Below are 25,044 nucleotides of genomic sequence, written 5' to 3'. Positions count from 1 at the left end.
ACAGGGAGGGAACAAGTCAGGGGTGAGAGATGAAAGGGGATGGCTGAAGGGAACCGCACCTCTTTTCCTGAAGTTTTTGCATGTATATGATCACTCTTAGCTTATAAAGACGAAGATTTGAGCTTCCTTGCCGATCTCCTCCAGTGTTGACCACTTTTATGGAGCCCCCAGTGCTATACTAGAGCTATGGTCTAATCAAGGCATCAACAAGCATGAAGTTTATGATTTCAGAAGAAACAGGACAAGACATATTGCACATCAAATCCTATAAACGACAATCCAGCATGGCCAACAAAAATAGACCATTGCAGCTGTGCTCTGGCTGAGTGTTTATTTATTGGAGAAGAGAAAGGTACAATCAAGAAAAGGGGGAATCATGTCAGGATGTTATTGGAGTCAAGCAGATTGACTGCCTGAAGTGAAAGCCCTGGCCATGCAGAGTAAAGGCCAGCGATTGGGTCAGAGGCAGGAGAACATTGGAGGCATGGACTTACAGCCCCAGTATTGATTTTACATTGAATTCCAGGTTTTGCTGCAATTAAAAGCTACTGCAAGGTTTTGAGAAGAGAAATGGTATGATCAAATAATTAGAGCAATGTGGTTTTCATTTTAATTAGGAAAGACCACAGGGATGAGAGAGATGAGAGGATCAGCTTGTGAGGTAATTCACTAACCAAATAAGTTCAGGAGCCAAAGAGGTCTTTCTGAAATCGACAAATTAAAGCTACAGTGTTGTCTGACATTATAACAAGAGGTTTTTACTGTTATTATTATTAATTTTATCTGATTCAGTTACCTTGTTAGTTCTGACAGACTTGGATTGCTAGCTTGATTAGTTCCCTCTTATTTGTCCAGAAACACCAAAACACCAAAATTATACCATTTTATCAATGTATGCCTTTATATATGGCTATGGTTTAGGCAAAGTGAAGAGAAAAATGTCTAGACTAAAGGTGACTGAATTCTTTCTCTATCTTATTTTGAAAAGAAGGAATTCATGTGTTTCTTTCTCATCGTCAGCCCTAGTCTTTTTGGGACATTTTAGTCTGAAATCTGAATGTGCTTACCAGCTGGGAAAAAATTTGACATTTACTTGATTTTGTCCCTTGGAAGTAAAAAAAAAAAAAAAAAAAAAAAATGGCAGCTTTATTAAACAACAAGTCTGCTTATTTCTTTCTTCAATCCCTCCCCAGGTTGCAGGCTCTTTTCAAAGCTCTGGTAGACCTCTAACCAGTTTTCTAAAGGTAATTTCCCAAAGTGCTGCCTCTAGCCATAGAAAATGCCACGTAGGTTTCTGGATTTATAAAGGCCGAGAAAGCCATTTTGGTTACATTTGCAGCTTTTTCTGTGGTTCTGGGTGGTAACGCCCGATTGCCAACATTATTCTTTCCTTCTTCTGGGAAGAGCCATAATTGTACTTGGCTTGGTTGACACAAAGGCCTCTGAAAAATATGAAGCTGATCCCTCTAGTGTTCTTTTGTGAAGACTACAGTACAGAATGTTGAAGGGAGGGAAACAGCAGCACAATGCCACAAACAACAGCTCCAAAAGTTAATTTGTTTTTTAAATGACATTAATAAAATGATTTGCAATGACAGTTTTGTGTGCTGCATAGAGTAGTGACAAAAGAAAATGTTGGCACTTTGAAACAATTCATATATGTATTGCAGGCATGCAATTGGCTACCTTTATGGGAGAATGTGTGGCATTGAGAATTATCTGAACAGATAATAAACAATTTAAATAACATTGGCCAGAGTTATCAGAGGTACAGAGGCAATGTAAACTTGCCTCGTTTTCAGAAATGAATTTACTCCACTGGGTAGGATTGTCTGACTATATTCATAGGCTTTTTCTGGTCATAAACAGAGAAGAAGAGATTTTACATATTTCTACATTCCATTTCTGATGTTCCCTGATATTCAATAAAAACAGTATGCTATGTTCTTTATGTTTTTCTTTGACATTTTCTTCTACGTTCAGACATTTATTAAACAGCTATTCTATTCCAGGCACTGAAGATACAAAAATGATAAGAGAGACTCACTTCTCTCAATAAACTACATAATCTCACTGGGAGATAACTTCTAACTACAATAGAGATGTATGCAAAGAGCTTGGGACAGGGAAATGATATTAATTATTGATATTATTTAGTAAGGGGGATGAGATATTTAAACTGGGTTTTGAGGAATGACTGAGAGTTAGAATTCTCAGGTTGGAGACGATTGATGATTTGGCATCTCTAACTAACAGCTTGATTGGGTCCAGTTTTTAGAGAGAGCTGTGGCACAGTGGGCAGCTGTGCAGCCTTAGCTCCTCCTGCAAACCACCTCAGAATTAGTCCAGTGTCTCTTCTAGTAGCTTCTACCGTTCACATTAAGTAAAAAGAGCTACACCATAGAAATGTCACTGTGCAGTTTAATGAACATAAAATGTGGAAGCATCATAGGGATCGATATTTGGACTGCTGCTATAATTTGGAGCAGAAAGAGGAACTGAGAAAGCAAAACTAAGGGAAATAGTGATAGTAGAACCAAATTCGCTGTGCAGCTAAAAGCAGGTCCTGATTGAGGGAGTCAGGCTCTGTTTGATGATTTCTAAGAGCGCTTCCAGTTCTAAGAGTCCATGAGTCAATTTTCAGAATTATTATTCAAAGGATTGATTGCCCCAGAGTCTAGGTAACCACACAGCCGCTTGAGATCCTACCACACTGATATTTCCAGCAGGCGTTGCCTAACAAGTCTTGTATAAAAAAAGACCCCCAACTGACAAGATAATATGAACAGTGACACTGATATGAAAGTTCACTAGCTGGAAGACATTGAGGCAGTTTTCAAAGGCTTTTAACTCTGACTCTCTTGGGCTATATTTTTACACATTCAGATCATTTGGTTCATAAGTAAGATTAATGCCATCTGCAGTTACTATATTTACAGTTTACATGTACCATCAAAACCAATTCATAGTCATAAAAGTTAAAAGCATGTTAAAGGTCTTTAAAATGTAGAAGGCAAAAATTGTGTTGTAATTGAGCATGAATGTCAATATAGTAAAAAAAAGATCTTATAGGCAGTTAAAGTATTATTATTATTGTTTTATTGAGACTTAACTTTAGTATTTCAATAGCTCCCTAATCTTACAACAAAACATATTTTAATGGCAAAGGCACCAGAGTATCCATCTAATGAAATTACTCAAGTGTAAAATGCCATAAGAGGCATGCTGAAACACATATTAAATAGGAGAATTGAGAACTGCAGATTTAAATTGATCATGCTCATTGCTGGTTCTCACAGTTCTTTGGACATCAGAGTTTTTCTTGTAAAACCTTTCTTCTAGGCTGTGAGTTCCCATCGGTATCTTGAGATCGCCCTTCTGTCTTTAGCCTCTTCACTCCTGCATTCATCACAGTGAAGATTGTTGCATCCATCCTTCCAGTGTAAGATAATTTTTATACATGCTCTCAGAACAAATGGATCCTAAATGAATCTGGGAATCAAAATTTACATATTTAAAAGGAGATCTGCATTTTGTAGTGGGGATATATACTAATTATAGAAGGGGTATGGAGAATGAGAGAATATACATCGTGAGACAGGGCATAAGTTCATTATGCTCTTGAAATCTAAGGATGGCTTACACTTGAATTTCCCAGGGATCTACATCCTTTGCAGGTAAATGAGTTCATGGCCCAAATTTTATTGGCTGATTTTATTTTCATGAATGATGTTGGACTTGAGAACTTCCAAAATGCCCATCTTCTACCAGACATTTTAAAAACTGTCTCCAGGGGATGTCTCCCATGTGTGAAGGAATAAGCAACTTCTCTTGACCTGCAGCTGTATTCCTGCACACTGCAGGGTCTCTTTCTCTCTGCTTTTCCCTGCATTTTAGCTCCCCATCCAGTGATGCTAATGCTTTCCCAGGTATATTAGCTACTGTGCCTGACACTGCTGATTTTTACTGGATATTGACCCAGGTTCTTTAGAATCCTTGAGATGCCAAATCTGGGAAGAGAAAGAAGGAAGGGAGGGAGACAGGGAGGAGAGAAGGAAAGATTTTTCTCCCTGATTTTGTTTCATGATTGACAGTGCTGTTTATGCCTTGGCGTGTTACGTAGTAAAACATTCTTTGAAGGTTTTACATACAGCTCTTTCTCACTGAGACTCAACATTGTCTATATGCATAGAAAAAATATCAAAAGGTAAATTTGGGATTCAAAGTTATTTTTATTTTCTTCTCAATACTTAAAATTTTCATTAAAAATTTTGAGTAGGTATTAAATTTTACTTAAAAAAGAAAGGAAAACATCTACAACTTAGGGTTCTGAGCTTGAGTAAGAGGTCCCCAAACTAAAATTTAACAGGGAAAACCAAAATCAGTTTACCATTCTGAGTTAACAATTTTATCAATTATTGATTTGTACCCCATTTATACATAAAAGAGTTTGATGGCATCTATGATAATTAGAGAAAAGCCAAGGTTAGAAATGAAAGATAAAGCCCAAAGAAAAGGAGAGTATAAAGAGTGCTCAAGGAAGAAATAAAAGTAATTTACTCTGATAAAAAAGAATCTAAAAAGACTAATGGAAAAAGACCTTGTCACTGAGGAAAATGAGAAAGAAGGAGGCACTGCTTACATCAATAGGTAGTTCTCTGTCTTTATTTTCTATGGCGCTATATTGTGAAATCCTGCTAGCTCTTTGATAGCTGACCTGGAGGGCTAAACTAAAAAATCCAATTACTTTTCTAGAAGCTGTAGTGATGACCAACTAAACTGTGGCCCTTGGGGACAGTATTTGTATCCTTTGACAGCAATTAATGAAACCAATAAATCAATTAGTTAAATTAAATTAAGGTCTACCCAGCTGTTTCCACAGCCTACCCATGTGTAACTAAATGTGATTATAAGAGTGCCCTTGATGTGAAACGGATACAATTCAAGTGATCTTTGCTGTCTTTATGTCCTAACTGTACCCCCATTTTATAGAATTATAGTTATTCTACTTTTATCTTGGCTCTATATTGGAAGAACTTTGCTTGGGGGAGAGTTCTTGATGGAGGCAGCAGAAATACTCTTTGTTTGTACCACTGAGTGATAAGCAACAACACCAGGGACCAGTTTGTTCTATTTGTTTTTTTCTTGGAGTTAATATATCTCATTTTTCTTCCAAAATAATCACTGTATCAATATCTGTTTTCAGTTTCAAGGAGGAGGTCTTTTCTTCCTTGACAATGCTGACTCCTCCAACTTCTGCCTTTTTCTCTAAGACCTTTCTGATTGCTCTCCTTCCCTCACTGGATTATGCTGTTCCTCTGGTTAGCTTCATTTTATTTCCCTACTTCCCAAAGAAGTAAACTGTTTCCCTGATTCTGCTTCTTCCCCATCTCCTCCACACATCAGCATTCTCACATCTCCAGCCACTCTTCTCTGTGTTATCAATATATCTTCTCTACATTATCAATTGCCTACCTGACAGGTAGGCAATTGTTCTCTACTGATCATGACAGAGTTAGCCTGTCCCCACCCAAGATCCTCCCCTTGACTTCTCTCTAGACTTGGACACTCTTGACCAATCCTTCCTTCCCAAACTGCTGTGAGATTAGCCATAATACATAATCACATCCTCTCTTTACCTCTTTGAATATGTATTCTTTATCACCTTCATTAATTCTTACATCCATCAATTCCCTCTCATGTCCATTAAATATATATCAAGTACCCACTTGGAAGGCATTGCTTTAGGTCCCAAATATAAAGATAAATAAGACATGCCCTTGAGCAGCTCATAGGATAGTAGAGGAGGCAGAGGTGCCCAGAGTGCTATAATGTGGCCGAATTGTAATAAAATCTGCTACAAGGATATACAGGAAGAAGGGATAATTTTGCTGGGTTGTAACAGAAAAGGACAAGGTAGTGATATCTATGTTGAGTGACCAGGATAAGAAGAAATAAGTTATTTCAAACATGGAGAGTGGGATGTATAGAGACCTGGAGTCATAAAATCCGATATGGAGTTTGGTGACTTTGAGAGTATTGTCTGTGCAAGACAATGTTGAAAATGTAGACTGTGGCCAGACTCTGAAGAGCTTTGAATGCTGGACTAGAGTTTAGACTTTTTCACTAGAAATGTGTGGGTTAAGATTTTTGAGAAGATTCACATAATCTTACATGAGTTGCAAAAGACACTTGTCAGCAGTGTGGGGAATGGATTGGAGTTGGGGGACCATTTAGAAGCTCATTTCAATGGTCTAAGAGAGAAATGATTAGGACCTGAACCAGGATAGCTGTGGTGGGAAAGAGTACTAGACAGCTTCTGCAGGAAAAATGGGTAAAAGATAGTGTTGATTTGATGTTGAGAATTGGGGATAGAGAAAAACAATGTAAATATAACTCCCACATTTCTGAAATAATTTTTAGGAGCTGTCATGCCCCTGTGCAAATGTTCTAATACTTTCTCACTGTCTCTTTGCAGTGTTTGAAATAGAGTTTCTGTATCAGTCATCATTCTTTTGGTTATAAGCAAAAGAAATTGACTCTGCCTAATCACTCTGAGAAAAAAAAAGAATATTTAGATGGATACTGTGGTTTCTCACAAAGGTCAAGAAAGGCTTGAACAATCCAGCATCATGAAGGGCAGAAATCAAACTAGTGACAGGTATCTCAGAATAAGGAATTCATGAATATTTTCTCTAGAATTCTATTATTGAAGTAAATGAATTCCCACAACCCTAGGCTCTCAGTTCAAATCTGTACACATTTGGGGTCTGATTGGGCCTAAGTGAGCCAGTTGTTTGCTCAGCTTCATTCAGCTGAGACTATAGGAGCAAGGTCAGACTGTACAACTCTGGCCACTAGAGGCCATATCCTTGTGTTCAAGGTCAGCCTCTAAATAAAGAGGGGTCTTTGGGAGTTGGACAGATACCCCATGGGAAGGGTGTTCTATATGCCCTGAATTGTTTTGTGTCATGGATCTTTCCCAGAAAAAATACTCAATTACAAAAAATACATAAGGAGTTTCATGAATCCTTTGAAAATTATGCACAAATCCATATTAAGAACCCCTTTTCTTAAGAAATAAAGTTCACACTTCTTAGCCTGACTTGCAAGGACCTTTGTGATTGGATTTCTAAGAGCCTCTCACTGGTCTTGTATCTCATTCTTCTTTCTTCAAACACTCGCAGTTAAAGAAAAAATTACTTTCCAAACTCTGAAGCTTTAATCATGTCATCTCTTTTCTTTATAAGGAATGTCCAAATCCTCTTATTGAAAAATCCTACTCATCCTTTAATGGTCGAACTGAAAACCTGTTTCTTTTATGAAGTCTTCCTTGACTCATCCATCAACACAGGGGTGACGCCCTCTCTCTTCTTATCAGTCATAATACTTTATACCTATTTTTCTCATGACATTTATTACTTTCTTCTTTCCATTATAGTTTCTATATAGCTTATCTTTGCTTTTAGATCCCAAGATGATCATAAACAGAAACTGGGTGTCATTCAGCTTTATGCCTTGCACCTCTAGTGTTCTCTGCGTGCGTGGGGCTCTCAAGACAAGCTTGAAAAATGAGTGAAAGGCTACTTACTGGGGAAGAAAGGGCCCCTGTCTAATTTTATCCTGCTTGTATTTTTACAAGCTCTTCTTTTCAGAGGAATGAGTTATTTTTTCCTTATTTTTCTTTTTATTATACTCATTTTCTTGGGCTTTGTTTTATCTCTGCTTATTTCCCGGCAAATCCTATCTTCTTCTCCTTTTTATTTTTCATTTTCCCATCGTGATAAAAATTTCCCCCTTTAGTTTTCTAAAATTATTATTAATTTGAATGACTTTCTTGTTTTCATTTGTCCTAAAAACCACAGCCTTTACTTTGGCTTCATTATTCACAGGCGGGAAAAATCTGATCATTTAGATAAGCACTTTCTCCTAATTGAAAAGCATTGTTTTCAGATGCACTAAAGGGGAGCTAGAAAATCACAGAAAACAGTGACTGATACTTATATTTTAAACAGCAGCGTTTTGCTCATTCCCACTCCACTCCAATATTTTTACTTCCTTAAAAATGATAGATTTAGAAATCACCACTAAAATATTTAAATTAACTTGAGCTGAATGAAAGAGTCTCTTCTCTTTGTTTCAAGTGCAAAACCACACTTGCAAAATGGCCCAATAGGAATCTTTTCTCTGTGTGAACTGTTTCCTGGTGGAACTGGGATTGGAGGTGGTTGGGGGTTGTTATGCCATGCATGGAAAAACAGCATCCTCTGCTGGTGGGAAGGCCTCTGAGGCTTGAGAAGCCTGAGTGTTGAGAGTCAACAAAGCTTTGGAAAATTCTTAGCTAGCATATCCACTACAGATTGGAAATCAATTCAAGATTTCTAATGATTATCGCTCATGATATAACTGAAACTTAGTTAACTTCACAACATTGAAAATCAGTAATAAATCTTCCTATCCTTCTTTTTTCTCCTCCCCCAGGACTTTCCTAACAGTTAAGAATTGCTCTTATTCTTAAATCCCTCAGAAATTCTCATGATGCAAAATTTTTATTATGGTTCCATAACAACATATGTTGGTTCAATGAGAGCAACTTGATGTCATCATTATCATTAAATATTTCATTAGAAATCAGCTATGGCGGTGTTCTTGGGTTCTCTATGTAGCTGCTTTATTAGGGAGCCCATCTCATAAATTGATGTCTTCTTGGTATTTATACACCCTTGGCTGGGGTCCTCAACCAGCCATCATTAAATGAAATTTCCATCTGTAGCAAATATGTGTGAAAATGAATGTATCTTGTATTTATTAGAAAAATATGGTAGTTGACATTTTCTTCTGTCTCATACAGACCACGTTGGCTCAGCTTGGCTTCTCCTACTTCGGATTTCTGTCAGTTAGCTAACACCCCAAATTATTGGCTTTACCATGCTACTCATGAAATCTTGCAAAGTGGCATCTCTCTGGAGGAGAAGTAAGGTGGGGTAGAGTTAAGGACAAATAATCACTGGGCAAATACAGTGACTTTTATAAGATTTATGAATTGCAAAATTTCATCCATCCATCTCTGTAATTGTCAGGCACACGTAGTTTGTTGTTGTCATGACTGACATATTTCCCAGAGTGACCATCTGCTGTATGAAGCAATATGAAGACAGGAGAACATTCCACAGGCTTTTTCAATAGGAAAGTCCCCAGGAAGTTCCATTTGTAGGTATTTTCATATGAACTTGATGGGTTGGCAGTTTCTTTCATTAGTGTGCTTCAAGGACTGTGTCCATGCTATTACTTTTTATCTCTAGCTCATTTGGTATTAAAGAAGTTCCCAGTATCATATCAGCACATTTTCTAAATTTCAAATTGGTTTCAATTTAAGGCATGTTGTTTTAAGAATGATACCCATTTTTTCTCAGGGGGCCTGACGCAGATCTGAACCAAGTCTGGGTTTATCAAAATTTTTTCTTTGGTCTGGTTTCATGGAGAAGGTTAATAACTAGTAACTAATATCTGCATACATTCTTTTGCCTTATAATCACAACCACATCCACTTACAGTTCTATATTCTAATTTCTTTATGATGAAGCAATTAGCATTAAACCATCCTGAGCTTATTATGATTACAATGGCTGCTATAATCATAGTTAGTCATAACTATAATTATCATCACAAATATAGTGGCTATTAAACTAAATTTTAATAACTCACTCTATCATTAATATAATCGTTATTGTTAACTTCATGCCTTCTTATAAGCTGCATAATAATGAATAATTGACAAAGAAGTGGAAATATGAATCACGAAGCACAGAATAAGAAATCCCGTTCCCTGTACTAATGGTGTAAGTACCAAAATTTACTGATAAACTTAGAGTTTGAAACTCAACACATTCTTCTCAATACTAATAGTTTTATGAATAATGTTGAGTCTTCCAAGTAAGCTTCTGCTTCAAAATCTATTTAAAGTATAATACAGATTAATATAAAACTAATAGGACAAGCAAGAATTGGATTGGGCATCTAGGTCAGCATCAAGCCATACAGAGAAGGAGGGAGAAAGAGAAAGAAATTTTCTTTTCTTTCTTGGAAGCAAGGCTGATGATAGGCAAAGTTTAATAATAGTGCAATTTTCTCTCACCTCCAGTTCTAGTTCACTACAGTGGAATCTCACCTAAGTTATGCCAGGATGGTGGGAAAATGGCTATTTTATTTAGGATCACTGAGCAGAGGAAATGAACGCAAACCTTGGAAAGAGGCTTCCACCCACATGTCGGGGGCTTGTCCTTGCCTGTAGCTGTTTTCTTCCTTACCTGGCTCTCAGCATTTGAGAGTGCCAAGAGTTTGGGATACACTTCTGTTGTAAAAGAGTTTGGGGTGTCAGGGAAGAAATCTGGAGGTTAGCAGCTTTTGCGCCTCTATTCTTCACTTTTTTTTTTTTTGAGACGGAATCTTGCCCTGTCGCCCAGGCTGGAGTGCAGTGACACCATCGCGGCTCACTGCAACCTCCACCTCCCGGGTTCCAGCGATTCTTCTGCCTCAGCTTCCCGAGTAGCCGGAACCACAGGCGCATGCCACCACGCCCGGCTAATTTTTGTAGTTTTTAGTAGAGACGGGGTTTCACCATGTTGGCCAGGCTGATCTTGAACTCCTGACCTCGTGATCCACCCACCTCGGCCTCCCAAAGTGCCGGGATTACAGGCGTGAGCTACTGTGCCCGGCCTCTTCTTCACCCTTAACTTACCGTCTGCAGTTCTGTTTCCGCAGTCTCTCCTATAGCTGCCTTCTACTGGTCATTCTTAGTAACCCAATTTAGCGCAGGCTTTTCCATCTCTTGCTACAACTACTGTTGGAGATTTCATACTTCCATACTCTCCTTTCCCAATCTCCAGTTTTTCACCTATACTGCTCTTGATTTTTTTCTCCTCCAACAGAACATTATTTAATAATATATTCTGTCTTCAACACTGTGCTATGTGGTGTTATTCCCTTGCTTAAAAATCTTTACAGCTTTCTTTTGCCTATATAATAAAGTCCAAATAGACCCAGTAAGCTACTCTCCTAGAACATCTCCTAGTATGCTGCATCTTTTATGCTATGACTCAGTAACACGGTTCTCTGAATGTAGCATGCATTTCCACATCATTTTATGTTTTTCCAAGCTGTTTCCTCTGCCAGGAATGTCTTCCCCCTTATTTTCCTGTCAAATGCTTGCTAGTCCTTCAAGATCAAATTTAAACTTTTTTTTTTCATGAAGTATTTCCCAATTGCTAGTCTCATTCACCTTAAAAGTAGGATTAGTGGCTCTTTTCTGTATTTTTAACTGATAACTTTACTGCAGTCCTTCATCTAGCACATATTTCCATCATCAGCTATGTGCCAGGCACTATGATAGACGTGGAGGATGAATGACACAGGCAACGACCCTGTCCACAAGGAGCTCATCTTCTTTTATTTTGGCCTGAGAAACTACAGTGATAGATTTGCCATTTACTTGAGAAAGGCCATAAGGGGAAACAGGGGTGGGGGTAAAAACAAGAATTCAGTTTTTGGAATACGTTCAAAAGATCTATTGTACAATATGGTGACTACAGTTACTACTAATGTATCGTATTTTTAAAAAATGACAAGAAAGAAGATTTTAAATGTATTCACCACAAAAATGATATGTATATGATGTAATGCATATATTAATTAGTTTGATTGAGCCATTCTACAATGTATACATATTTCAAAACAAGCAGTTGTACACAATGAATATATGTATATAATTTTCACTTAAGTAAGTAATTTTTTTTAAAGAATGCAGTTTTTGACCTGATTGTGAAACACTATTGGATATACACATAGAGGCACAATGTGGGTAGATGAATGAATGAGTCTAACATACAGGGGAAAAGGTATGTATTTGGGAATTGTCAAATATATGTCTAGAAGGCTCCTTAAAGTCATTAGATGAATGAGATCTCCTGGGAGAATGAGAAGAGTAGAGATCCGAGGACTAAACTAGGGGGTCACTTGAATGCTGGAAAGACAAAGAAGAGCCAGCACAGGGGATCAGGAGAGCAATCAGTGAGATGGGAGGAGACCCAAAAGACAGTGATAAATGAAGAAGGTGTTTCAGGAAGGAAGGTTGTGCCCAACTGTGTCAATGTTGCTGATGATCTGAAGAAGATGAAGACTAAGAATTTATCTTTGGATTGGTAATGAGCTGGTCACTGGAGACTCTACCAATGGTCGATTTGTGGGGTCAAAAGTTCAACAGGAGTGAGTAGAGGAGAGAAAGAAAAGAGAGGAAGCAGAGACAGCAAGTATAGATAATTATTTCTAGTGTTGTAGTGTCAAGGAGGTAGAGAAGTCAGGCAGTTAGTGGCTGGAGGAATGGGAGATCCCAAATTCATTTGCATGGTGATGGACTGACCCAGTAGAAATGGAAAATGTCATGACATGTATGAGACAAAGGACAACTGCAGCAGCAGTGTCCTTCAATAGGTAAGAAAAGGGTTGTCCTTAGGAGCACTGACCACTGATCCATTTTAATTGTGGGGAATGCAGAGTAGGTGGGCCCACATGCTAATATCTTGGTAGATTTGGTAGTAAAAATGGTGGTAGTGGTTGTGGAAATTCTCGCTTTTTTTTTCTTTTTTCCAGAGTGAAGTAAAAAGCCAGTCCAGCTGAGAGTGAGAGACAGGGAAAAGGCTTAGAGGTTTGGGGAGAGAACAGAAAGAGTGAAATAATGATCTAGGAAGAGAGATAATTCATCTTCCTTGTATTCTTCTATTTCTTTTCAATTCTATCTTTCCCACTGGAACTCCCTTCACTGAACTTCCAGCAGAGGCTTTTCCCCAGAGAAGGGTCTTGAAAAATGTTGACTGCATTAATTAATTGGAAGCTCTTCTCTTTCAAATCTGGGCATGGGGGACGGTCAGCGGTTCAAGGCTGTTTCAAAGGCTTTGGATAATTAGACTACTCTCCCTTGTAAAATTTACCCACAACCCTTTCCATCTTTCTGTATTTTAAACTAGTAATTTAGCACGCTTGCATCTGAGCCACATTTTGCAAAAATATGTTTCTGTTGACATCAGATAAGAGTTGAGTTGTGAAATACATCTCTTTAAAGGATTAACTACGCTTCCAAAAAGGCTCTTTGTTGTGAGATTTGCTAACAGATGGGAAATTCTAGGCTCTGGGTGTTAACAGTATTCTTGTGATTGCAGAAAAATAGCTTCATTTTGTGTAAGCAAAATGAACATATACATGTGAAACATGATGACATTGTAAGTAAATATGCAAATAAGAATAGAAAAACATAGTTAAGTTGCTTATGGAGTAGAGAAATGAAAATGGAAAAAGGTTGTTTGTTAATTAACCAGAGCATGCCTAGAAAATATTCTCTCTACCATTTGCCTTCCCAGCATGGTTTCAGGAGCTGGGCTGGCAGAAGAAGTATTTGATACAGCCCTAACTCTCAAATGTGATACAGTTTTGGAGAGAAGCCGTCCTTGTTTTAAAGCATTGGAAAAGTGCTAATATAAGGTGTGGCAGCAATTCTGAAAGCAGTAGAAATCTAGTTTAGACTGAAGCAGTTAGGAAAGGCTTCCTGGAGGAGGCAGGCCTTATGCATTGGCAAACTCTTATTTCTTTGAGTGTAACTTGTGTTTGAAGGGCTTGCTTTGATAAAGTGGAAACTCTCTGGCTTTAAACTTCTATTACACTGGGCTTTCTCTCTAATTAATTTTTTATGGGTATAAATTATATCCCTTCAACTGCCGTGTTTGTTATTCAACAGACATGTTTAGAGCCTACTAAGTGGCCTGGCGCTATGGGTGCCCTTGTGAACTATTTGGTGTCTGCCTTTGAGAAAAATCATAGTATAATAGACAGAGGTTAGCTGGTATGCTTCCTTTTTTTTTTTTTTTTTGCTTTTAACCCAACTATAGTAAAAATTTCCACTTCTTGCTAAGCTATATATCAATTTTTTCCTCTCTTCAAGAAAAACGTCTTTTTAGGTTGATATATGGAAGATACTGGCAAAAATCACTTGGCCAGTAAGGCTCCTGAGGTACTGCTTGGTGGGGAAAGTTGAGGAATTATAAGGAGCATCTGTGGGGTGTGCACAGGAAGAGCCTATTTTAAGTTTACTGTCTAAGTAGGAGATGAATTTCCTTCCAGAAAGGGCTTCTCCTCCGCCTTCCACTGTAGAAGATGCTGATTGTTGAGAAGCTTCACTTGCAGCAGATTCTGGGCTCTTAGGTATAGAAGAACAAGGGATGACTGCTCCTTTTCATTTAGCACATATTTATCAGTCACCTACTATGTGCAAGGCACTAAGACAGATGTGGAGGATGCACAACAATGGCACAGGGTCTGCCCTCCACAAGCTTATATAGGTTGAGTATCCCTTATCTGAAATGCTTGGGACCAGGAGTGTTTGGGATTTCAAATTCTTTAGAATTTTAAAATATTTGCATATACCTAATGAAATGCCTTAGAAATGGGACCCAAGTCTAAACACGAAATTCATCTATGTTTCTTATGCACCTTATATACAGAGCCTGGAAGTAATCTTATGTAATATTTCAAAATAAATTTGTGCATGAAACAAGGTTTGGATTGCATTTTGATTTCAACTTATCACATAAGACCAAGTGTGGAATTTTCCACTGTGGTATCATGTTAGTGCTCAAAATGTTTTGGATTTTGGAGCATTTTGGATTTCAAATTTTTTTTTTATTAGAGATTCTCAACCTGTATTCTATTACAGACAATAAGTAAATAGAGAGATACATAAATAGCTCGTGTACTGATTATTGTTATGAAGAAAAACAAGCTGTGTAAAGCAGAGTAAGGGGGAATGAGAGAGAAAAGGAGAAGCAGTGCTATTTTGGATTGAGAAATCCACTCTGATGATGTGAAATTTGCACAGAGACATGAAGAAAGCAAGGAAATGAGGAGCATGTGGGTCAAGGAAGAAGCTCATTCCAGGAAAGCAAGAGACTTAATGAAGGCTAGGAACTTAGGCACTGTCCAACCGGCAGGTGCACAGATGACCCTCTGTAGGAGGCTGGCATGGCTAGTGGCTGATGGTGTGGCTGGAAGGGACAGCGGGGAGGGGGTGGCAGCAGCAACGTGTAATGTGGGACTCACAGAGGCACAGTACGAACCAGCCAGATGTCTCTTCTTAGCCATGCTGGCCGAATATCCCCTGCCTCATGGCGAGGACTTGATCTCTTACAGAGTTCTGACTCTGTTATCTCAAAAAGCCCTCTTGTCATTTTCAGGAAGTCCTGAGGTTGTTACTGCCTCTTGCTTATAAAAACCTTTACAGCTTCTTTTAGGGCACTTGGGAGAGTATCTCTTTCCTTCCCATGTCCCTTAGAGTCATGGAGAAACCAGTTCCTGCCACCTCCCAAGCTCATCTTGGACTGGGGTCACCCTCTCTTCCTCCGTTGCATTTCCTTCACCATGGCAATTTCCTCTGATTCCTCCTTTTTCTTCCTGATGCTTTTCAGACCCTCCTCATCAGCAAACCACATGGCTTGTTTCTGCTTCTGCTCCTGCTATAGGTCCTAATATTGGCACCCTTGACTCAGAAAGATCTTCCCAGGCCACCTAATACAAAAGTAGTTGCACCCTTCTCAACATTACCCTGCTTCCTTCATATCTCTTAATATTAACTTTCTTAATATTAATTTTCTTCATATTCACAAAATCTCAAAGGATCTCATATTTAATTGTTTATTAGATCTTGGCTTGTGTGATCAGGGACTTGCCTTGTTCACTGTTGTTCCCCTGAGGATCTGTCAGGATGCCTGCCATATGGGAGGAATCCTACATTAACTATAAATATTGGTGCATGAGAGAAAGAATATAGATGCCCTAAGTTTAACAGGTCCCAGAAAATGATCACAGTAAGGATTCTGGAGGGTAAAACTAAGTAAGCAGTTTCCTTAAAAAATCCTACCTTAACAAGGCTTACTTCTGTCTGGATGCTACATTATATCTTCCAAGTTTGATCCATTGACCCCTTTTTATTCCAATAGAGAGACTAATCTGGTTCAGACTATTTTCATTTTAATGTCTACCCCTAGTGTGTCTGAATGAATTAATACAGACCCAGCGTGGAACTGCTTGGAGAAACGGTACTGGCATTTTGAAACTGCAAGACTCTGATTTTGTTTAAACGATGCATTGTTCAGTCATTCATTGGATGACAATGTGAGAAATGATTTTTCCTGCCTTTGCTGTCAGGTGGTCTGATTCACTGAGATATAGAGGGGGCGGGGAGGGGTGCACCTATGGAGAGAGAATTGAACTATAAATGCACTGGTTTCTCTGGAATCAAGTAAAAAAAATAAAATTTGCTTTTGTGTTTATTCAGCTACTGGGAAAGAACACAGCTGTAATAATAATCCATGAAGGACAGACATTTGACTTGAATACTTTCTCACTTCTGTGAACTGTGATTTGAAGTGGGGACTACTTCCTGGCCTGCCTCTGGACTCAGGCTCTTGTCCCTTTGGAGTGGGGTCAGTTTTCCAGCAACGAATAAAACCTAGGGTGCCTGAATTTTCACCAGGGGAGGTGGGAGAGGAACACAGTCCAAAACAAGAGGCGGATTTTTTTCTTTTTTAAAGCAAGAGCCAGCACATTGAGACCTGTCTTTCAATTACCTCATTGAAAGAACAAATGTTACTACATTAAAAAATGACCTGTTTATAAATGGCAAAACGAATATAAAATAACTAAAAAGACAAACAGAGGTCCTGTTTTAGTGTAGGCAAACTGATGCACAGAGATCACCTGTATCCTCAACTCTAACTTTCTCATCTGCGTATATACCAACAGGAAAGTCTTTTCATCTGCTCTGGGAAAAAACAACAACAAAACCAAAACAGTAACAAAAGCCACACTGTTTGCTTATTTCATGTTTGAAGTAAAAGCCCTTCAGCTTCTAATTAGTCGCACCAAATGGTGTTTAACTTTAAAATGAAAGTTTTGTCATTATCGTGGGTTAATTTTGGTTGACCTTTGATCCTCCCTTCCTCAACTATTGCTGTAGATTACTGCACTGTCTGGTATGGTAGCCAGCAGCCACATGTGGCTATTTTAATTTAAATTAATTAAAATTTAAAACTTATTTGCTTAGACATCATCACCATTTTAAGTGTTCAGTAGCCACAAATAGCTACTGGCCACTGTACTGGACAGCACAGATATGGGGCACATACATCATCACTGAAAATTCTGTTGGGATTGTACTGCTCTAGAAACTAAAGGCATGAATTGGAAGACAGCATGGTACAAGAGAGTTTTCAAAGTATTTTCTAGCTGAGGGAATAATTTCTTGAACAAAATTGTGTATGGAAACTCAATACATACAAATGATAGTTATGGAGCTGCTCTTGCTAATGTCAACGTGGAGGGTTCTGGATCCCTGCGCATTTACCACCTATTCTAGCCCCTCAATCCCATGCCCAAACCCTCCAGGTCATCGGAGAGTAGAGGTTGAAGATCGCGAGTGCAGTTGGTAAGGTATCCTCCTCGGAGTGAGCACACCTGGGTTTGAATTTTGGCTCTTCCTCTTGCTAGTTTTGTGAACTTGGAGTTCTTGGAACTTTCTGAGAGTCAGTTTTCTTGTCTGTGGCATACATCAACTATCTCTGAAGGTTGTGAAGGCGGGTTGAATTTTCTCATTTCTCAGATGAGGAATTGAAGCTTGGCAGAACTGCATGCCCACCAGACGGCCACCCAGTGAGCGGAGGCCAGAGCTGGGACCAAACCCAGTCCTCTCTCAGTGCCATTTCACTCCACTGCTCTACAATTTCCTGTTCAAATTGAAATTTTTCAAGCCAAACTACTTTTTAAAAACCAGCTGTCTAGGTGTCACTTATGATTTTTTATTTCCTGGATCAATATAGCATGTGAATACTTCTAAATGTACTGAAGCAGAAGTTGCCACCCTTGAACTGGTAAATGCTGTTTGAGTAAGTCAAATCTTCTTTGATACCCTTCATACTTCTTTGATATGCTTCGTGCTCTTCTCTTTGCAGACGATGGAAAATAAAAACAACAAGCAAGTGAAACTCCCTGACTTATCAACCTTACTCAAGAAGTAAGTGGTATTTTTCAAAAATCCTCATTTTCAGTGGTGAGATTAGAAGCCAGCCTGATTGTGAGTTTGGAAAACACACTCCTGTTTCATGGGCTGAGCATGAACTCAGCTGGCCTGTGTGACCTCTGCCATTTCCAACAACAGCCGACCATCCAAGGACAATTTTGACAGATATAGGAGAAAGATGAGTGGTTCTCAATATTGAACTAACTATTAAATGATGTTAGCGTAGGATAACCAGGAATGGTGGGAATTTTATGATTATCAGAAAAATCCTTGCTGCAACTGAGATACTGATGGATTGCCTCTTGATACTCCCTAGTTCCTTCTTTCTTTCTCTAGATGGGAATTTCTGCCCTAGAGAGGTCTTGGAAACTTTCTCACCAGAAGAGCACAACTTGATGGCAGGAAGCTCCTGATGGAGGCCTGAAAATGGCCCTGAAAGGGATGCCAGGGGACCAGGGCTCCACTATTATCAGCGTGTGACTTTGGACAAGGATGTTAATGGCTCTGTGACTCAGTTACCTCTTCTGTACTTTGCTTAGGGGTCTATTGCTTTCCATTTTGTCTTTTTCATTTGTTAAATCCAATGATGTCACTGACAGTAAAAACTAGTAAATAGTAAAAAAAAAAAAAAAAAAAAGTAAAACCATGGCTTCTCTTTTGGAGATGGCATCCCCATGCTGCCTATCTTTTCTTACACTTACTCACAAATATTTTTGATGTACTTATAACTCAGGAAATACCTTCCGAGGCAAAAATGTGTGTGGATCAGTAGAGGTAGCAGCAGCAGTAGCTGCCAAGTGCCCTGATGGCCTGGAGTCAGATGGCTACATTGCACTCAGTTCTCCCATCTTCCATAGATACTGGATGTTATCCTTCAATGTTTGCCTTGAGCCAGATGGAGAGGAAAGAGGCAGAGTTAACTTGTCTTTCTATTTTCATTCTCCCAAATACAACTGATTTTTTACTCTACTCCTGGATACCTTTCTTATATCACAACTCTGATGATGTAACTTTTCTCAACCAAACTTTCAGGGGACCCTCTATGATCTCAGAATGAAACCCCAACTGTGTTGTATACATTTAACATGCATTCTACTTTCCTTCCTTCCTTACATTTTAGCTGCGTGGAATTCCTTGGCTTTCAATGTGGAAGAAAGTTTGTGGTCCTTGCCCCACCTCCCCTCCCCAAGGTTGCAAGAAGAGGGGGTTAGAATTGTGGCTTTCTTTAATTTGATCCAATGCTCCTTCCCCTGCAACTTCTGCTTCCATACAATTAATAACTATTTTCGAATCAATGAAATAACAATCATTCTTTAATACCTCAGTATAAACGATCTTATTAAAAGTTATGCAGCCTGGTCCAAAAATGGCACAGGACAGAGGATGGGGCCAGAATCTTTGCCAGGGCACTGCCAAGAAGGGCATGACCAGTGGAGACACTTGAGTGGATGGATGCTGTGTGTCCCAGAATATACATGGAGTTGAGGTACAGGCATGGCATTGAATATGAGTAGAGCAGTGCAGAAAGAAAGAAAGGAGCAAACTTCAGAAGCCTCACAAGTTTTCCTAGAGTCATCCCTGTGAGCTTCACAATCTAGCTGTCCTTAAGGAATGTTTCTTTTATGTGGAGCACTGCACACCTAAGACATTTTTAATGTTTTGCTCTGCCAAGTGCAGCTATAAGAAGGAATTTCCAGGTAGAGAAACAGAAGGATTGGAGAAAATTCTTAGAATCGTGCGTATAAGGCAATTCCGTTGCAGCATCATCTGCTGTGGTCCTTTGAGAAAACTAAGTGTTTATTTCCATGATTTAAAATCAAGTCAGTCTTTATCTAGGGTTTGGGAAGGCTTACATTGGCTCAGGACCAAAATGAAGATAGGACTAGAACTTTCCCAAGAATGTACGAATAAATGTATGTGTGAGTTTCAAGTTGCACTGGCAACACTTTGGAGAAGTTAGCACTTCAGAATCATGAGGATTGTTTAAGCTGTCATCCCATTGGCTGGCTGTGTGGAAGTTACCCATTGTATGGAAGGTGACCCTGACTAGACCTTGTACAGTCCCTTAAGATAGATTAATAGTGAAGTCCTCTAACATGTTTTCTGAACCTGTCAATGAAAGAAGAGAGAGATGCCTACCAGTGCAGAGGAAAGGAGTGGATATATCTTAAGTCTTTGTTATTTCTGTCATGCAGATGACTCAGGTATAAAAACTAGAAATTCTTCCTAATGTGGATTAGGGAACTCAGGCTTCACAGTATAAGCCAAACAAAAAAAAGTTTCATCACCAACAAACTGTCCTACCAGTTGGTGGCACCGTTATCCACATCCTTTGTTCCCCAAGGCAATACTGATGATAAGGCTACATTCAGTGACATTTAGTGAAACTGACTGCTGTGAGGGCTCTTTATAAACTTGCACCAGAAGTACATCTCTTTTAGTTTATTTTTAGGTTATGATAATAGGTGCAAGGCTTTACAGCTAAAGGATTCCTCTCTTATATAGTTATTTCCAGTAGTATGAATAATAGATATTCTAGTGGTAATAGTACTGGTAGCAAAAACTACTCTTCTGCTGCTAGGATTCTATGAATCCTACTACTTTTACTTCAGTTACTCCTATTATTGTTATATCACTAATTGTGCAGGTTTTGTGTCAGGGCTTTTGATACACGATGTTTAATGCTTATAGTCATTCTGTGAGGTGTGTAATATTATTCTTACTTTATAGAAGAGGAAACTGAAGTTCAGAAAGATTGATGTATCCACACAAATAAATTGCTGACTTGGAATTTGATCTTAGATGCATCTGCCTCCAAAGCTCACACTTTTGCATCACATTTTGTCTTTCATCTGCCCTTCATAATATGGCCATTGCTCCATAATCCCTGTCTTCAGAAGATATGCACAGCTCAAGGACTGTGAACTTCAAAGGGCTCTGCCGGAAGTCCAGATGGTTGTCCAAAAATGGCCTGTTTCCTTTGTGTTCACTGGCTTGTCTTGAATGCGTCAAAGTTATCTTAATGTCATTTCAAAGGCAATTGAGGGAGCATCCATGGAGATAAATTGTGCCTGCAGCCTGTTGCTGAATGCATATTAAGTTCTATTCATGGATTTCCTAGCAACCAGAGCTCTGTGACGCATGGAGTCAGTGAGCTTGCGTTGTACTTATGTAGAGAAATTAAATCACTTGGATTTTATTATTAATATTTTTAGAAAGCCTCACTAGATTAGCTGTTTGAAATGCATTGTTATCTGAGTTCCTGTCAGCAGCTGGTCCCAGTCACATCTGAAATCATTGAGGACTCTAATTTTCACAAACGCTCCAGTGAGAGATTATCTCCATTTATATATATTTACAATTAAGTATTTAGTTGGGAAATAAGGAAATTAAAAAAAGGAAAGTTGCTCTAGCAGCTTGTGATCTAGGCAAAGTTCTAAAACTTGATACAAACATAACATAAATAAGCAGCAAGCATCCTGGTGAGAAGAGACAACTGGGCTCCTTTGCTTCAAAGGGACGTGGTGAAGTGGAAGAACATAATTTTAGTAAACCTAGTTCTTCACAAGACATTTCATAAGGGTGAAATATTTTTCATTTTAGGGTTCACCGAATATACTGCTTTACAGGCTTAGAAAATTGACACATTTCTTCTTCATAGTCCCAACCAGCCTAAAGTGCTGCAGACATCTCACAAGTTTCTCTCAAGTTTTAATTTGTGTTTTATTGGACATACAAGTCAAATCTATGTGTGGTCTGCTGTAGTGGTATAAGTGTGGCATGCCAATGCATGGTCAAACACACACACACACACATACACATGCACACGCATAACTATTTAGGAATATCAAAAATTTAGGCATCTGATTCCTGAATTTATGTTCTTCATAGAAGGTACCTCTAAGACATTGAGATTTCTTAAAGAAACATCTTTGGGTTCAATATCCAAATGAACGTGACATATTTTAAAGTGGTCAATTTGAGAGAGTGACCACTTAATCCAGTGATTTTACTTTGCTTGGAATACTTTTAAAACTTCAATTTTAGAGTTGCCTTTAGTGGCACTTATTTTAAAAACAACATTAATGATGACAAATATTTTTCTTGAAAATACATTCTGTTTGTGCTCCTTGAGTGATGATTAAAACTGGAAATTAGCCATTAGTGTTTCCATTACCCACTATCAAAAAATATGAAAATGGGAACACATTTGGAGACACTAATGCATGAATCTCAAAATGAGCTTAGGTTGTCACAGTGAATGACGCACACAATGAAATGGTAATCTGAGGGATCAGTCCAACCCACCAGTGCCTTTGATGTGGTAAAGTCATCAGAAGAAGAGTTCCTTTACGTTAGTGGAGTTGCTTATATGATTGTCATGGCAAACGTAGAGTATTTCCAGTTAACAATGGGAACCAGAAAGGTAAACTGAAGGTTTTCACAAATGCTTAAGACTACACTCTCATTGAATACTTGGAACCAAAAAATTAAAAAGTACATTCCATCAAATCTCTATAAAATTATCTAAATTTTCTCTGCTACAGCTATTTGTTTTTCATAGAAGCAGTATATGTAAGTAAACATCAAGGTATTTGTTACCTACATGTTTTACCCATATCTTAATTATCTCCGAAATTGTTTGAAGAGTCTTAAAATCTCTAAGAAAAGGGCAAATAGATAAGCAGAGTGACATAGGACAATACTTATACTAGAAAATATAAAAACTTTCTAGCAGTCAAGGTTTCTAGGAGATCATTGTAGGTTACCTAATCTCATAATCTTATGTGAATAAGCATTTCAGTTCCTCAAGAGCACCAAAAGGAAGTCTCCTTGAGGGTTTTTGTATAACTCATATTGAACTATATAATTTTCAGAATCTTTGCCAGAAATTTTACAAAAATTAGAGTTTTTCTTATAAAGTTGTTTCTTATATAGACAGTTGACAAAAACAAGAGCATAATGAAACCAGCTCAATTGTCCCATAGAACTGATGTTTACAGTCTTTTAAAAATAAACATATAAATTGAAACTTACATTTGTCTTGTCTGAGTTTTTTCCTCAGGAAACCAACCCTCAGGTCTCCCAGACAGTATCAAGGAACTGGAACTCACCAGATCATCATATCCAGACAAGAAGCTAGACCCCTCATCCCCCATGATTTCCTTACCCCTCTCAAATTCCTGCTTACCCACATGTAGTTACATTCCTTCTTTCATATATAAACCCCCAATGTTCCTCTGCAGGGAGACAAATTTGAGACTGATCTCCCATCTCCTTGGCTGCAGCACCTGATGAAAACCTTCTTTCCTGGCAATCCTCATTGTCTCAGTGACTGGCTTTCTGTGTGGAGAGCAGGAGGACCCAGGCCAAACCCCTGATGTTTCAGTAACAATAATATTAAAAAAGAATTCAGCTAAGGCATAGATCTAGGTTCTTTGGGATAACTCTTGAATTTGACTTGTGCCACAAGCCATTTTGAACTCCAACTATGGTGGATGAGTATGCCAGACACGTGGACACATGATCTGAAGCCACAGTTAGTCAAAGCCTCTTGGTCATGGTGAGTTGAGGGTGTGAATTGCTCTCTGCTTCATTTCCATTGCCACCACATTTAGAAGCCTAATGTGCTCAAAGATTTCTTTGTAACATTAGTTGATAAAATGTGCCCCTTAGAGCCTCCACTGGGACCCCTGTGGTCATTGTGGGCTATCACAGCACTTACCCTGCTTATAGCCAGAAGGAATCCTATTCCACACATCACTTTTTCAAGTAAATTCATGTCTACAAAAGCAAATGGTTTGGAAACCACTTTTTTATAGGCTGATGTCAGTGGCTCATTTGTTCTTGGTGAGGAGTTTGGCATGAAGGCTTGCTTATTTAGAGAAATGAGCAGTTTTCAGATTTTCAAACACTTGTGCATTCTCCAAAATTGCTGATTATGCATGAATTTCATTTCAGTGTTAGTTTAATATTTCATATTAATGGCCACCTGTTGCCAGATGGGAAAGCAATGATGGTGTCCAATGAAGTATGCCCTTACAGTGGTACACATGGCTTACACAGGGCTGCTTTGGGAAAACAGACCTCTGCATATTTTCAGCAAAAATTAATTATTTTGAAATGGATGCACCAGTTTTCCTCCAAGTGGTTAAATGTCAATAAACTGGAAATAACTTGTCTTTTTAGGGACTTTTATGTTACTGCAAATTTGTGTGTGGGGTGCGTGTATGTGTGTATGTGTGTATTTTAGGCTGAAACAAGTGACCAAAGATGTCAACCATCTCTGACAATGTGCCAATTCAAAGGAACTTAAACAATTTTCAAAGAATGACTGATTCACATAGAATGCAATTTTGGATCTAAGTCATAATAGGAATTCTCTTTACTGCTGTCCTTGTAGCTTTTCTTTGACAGACTATATGGGAATAACTGAAAAAAATAATTCATTACTGAAATAAGGGAGTCTAGGAGATAGAATCTAGATGGTCTTGCTGATGGCAAGAGAAACTTGACCAAGATTTGCCAAAACTGACAGAAGAAACTAAGGGAAGACAGTGAAGACTAGTGTTTCTTTCACTAAAATTCTGAAATTTACCTACATCTTTTAGAAAATATTTTGTTTCAAAAAATCCATTAGAATTACTCAAAATTTCAAATCTTAATCAAAACCAAAGGATTTTTTCTTTTTATATGTAATACCACCAATTCTTTGAATATGTTGGTTGTTTTTACAATTTCCACCCTTTGATCCTTGTATTGTTAACATATAGAAATTACTTCACTACTTGTCTTAGCCTGAAAATATTCAGAATTGTGTATTCCTAAAAAAGTAAATTTAATTTAAGAATCTAAAATAAATAATATTTTATGTCACTAATCTCTTTGATAATCTTTGATAATTCCTATATCTCTAGTAAAAAGTTATA

General features: G+C 38.3%; 1 long non-coding RNA gene across 1 annotated transcript in view; it reads left to right on the top strand.

Moving 5' to 3' along the window:
* The window catches only part of LOC112267858 (uncharacterized), an 84,173-nt gene extending 63,262 nt beyond the window's left edge, over nucleotides 1-20,911 (top strand). The window contains exons 3-4 of the long non-coding RNA XR_001745273.2: nucleotides 18,048-18,109; nucleotides 18,452-20,911. This is a non-coding gene — a long non-coding RNA (uncharacterized LOC112267858). The remainder of the gene's footprint in view (nucleotides 1-18,047; nucleotides 18,110-18,451) is intronic.
* Nucleotides 20,912-25,044: the final 4,133 nt, after the last annotated feature.

Source organism: Homo sapiens, chromosome 7 (genome assembly GCF_000001405.40).
Source record: "Homo sapiens chromosome 7, GRCh38.p14 Primary Assembly".
In the NCBI taxonomy this organism is placed as follows: Eukaryota; Metazoa; Chordata; class Mammalia; order Primates; family Hominidae; genus Homo; species Homo sapiens.
Note: the sequence above shows the minus strand (reverse complement) of the source record. Positions and strands in the feature narration are given on the sequence as shown.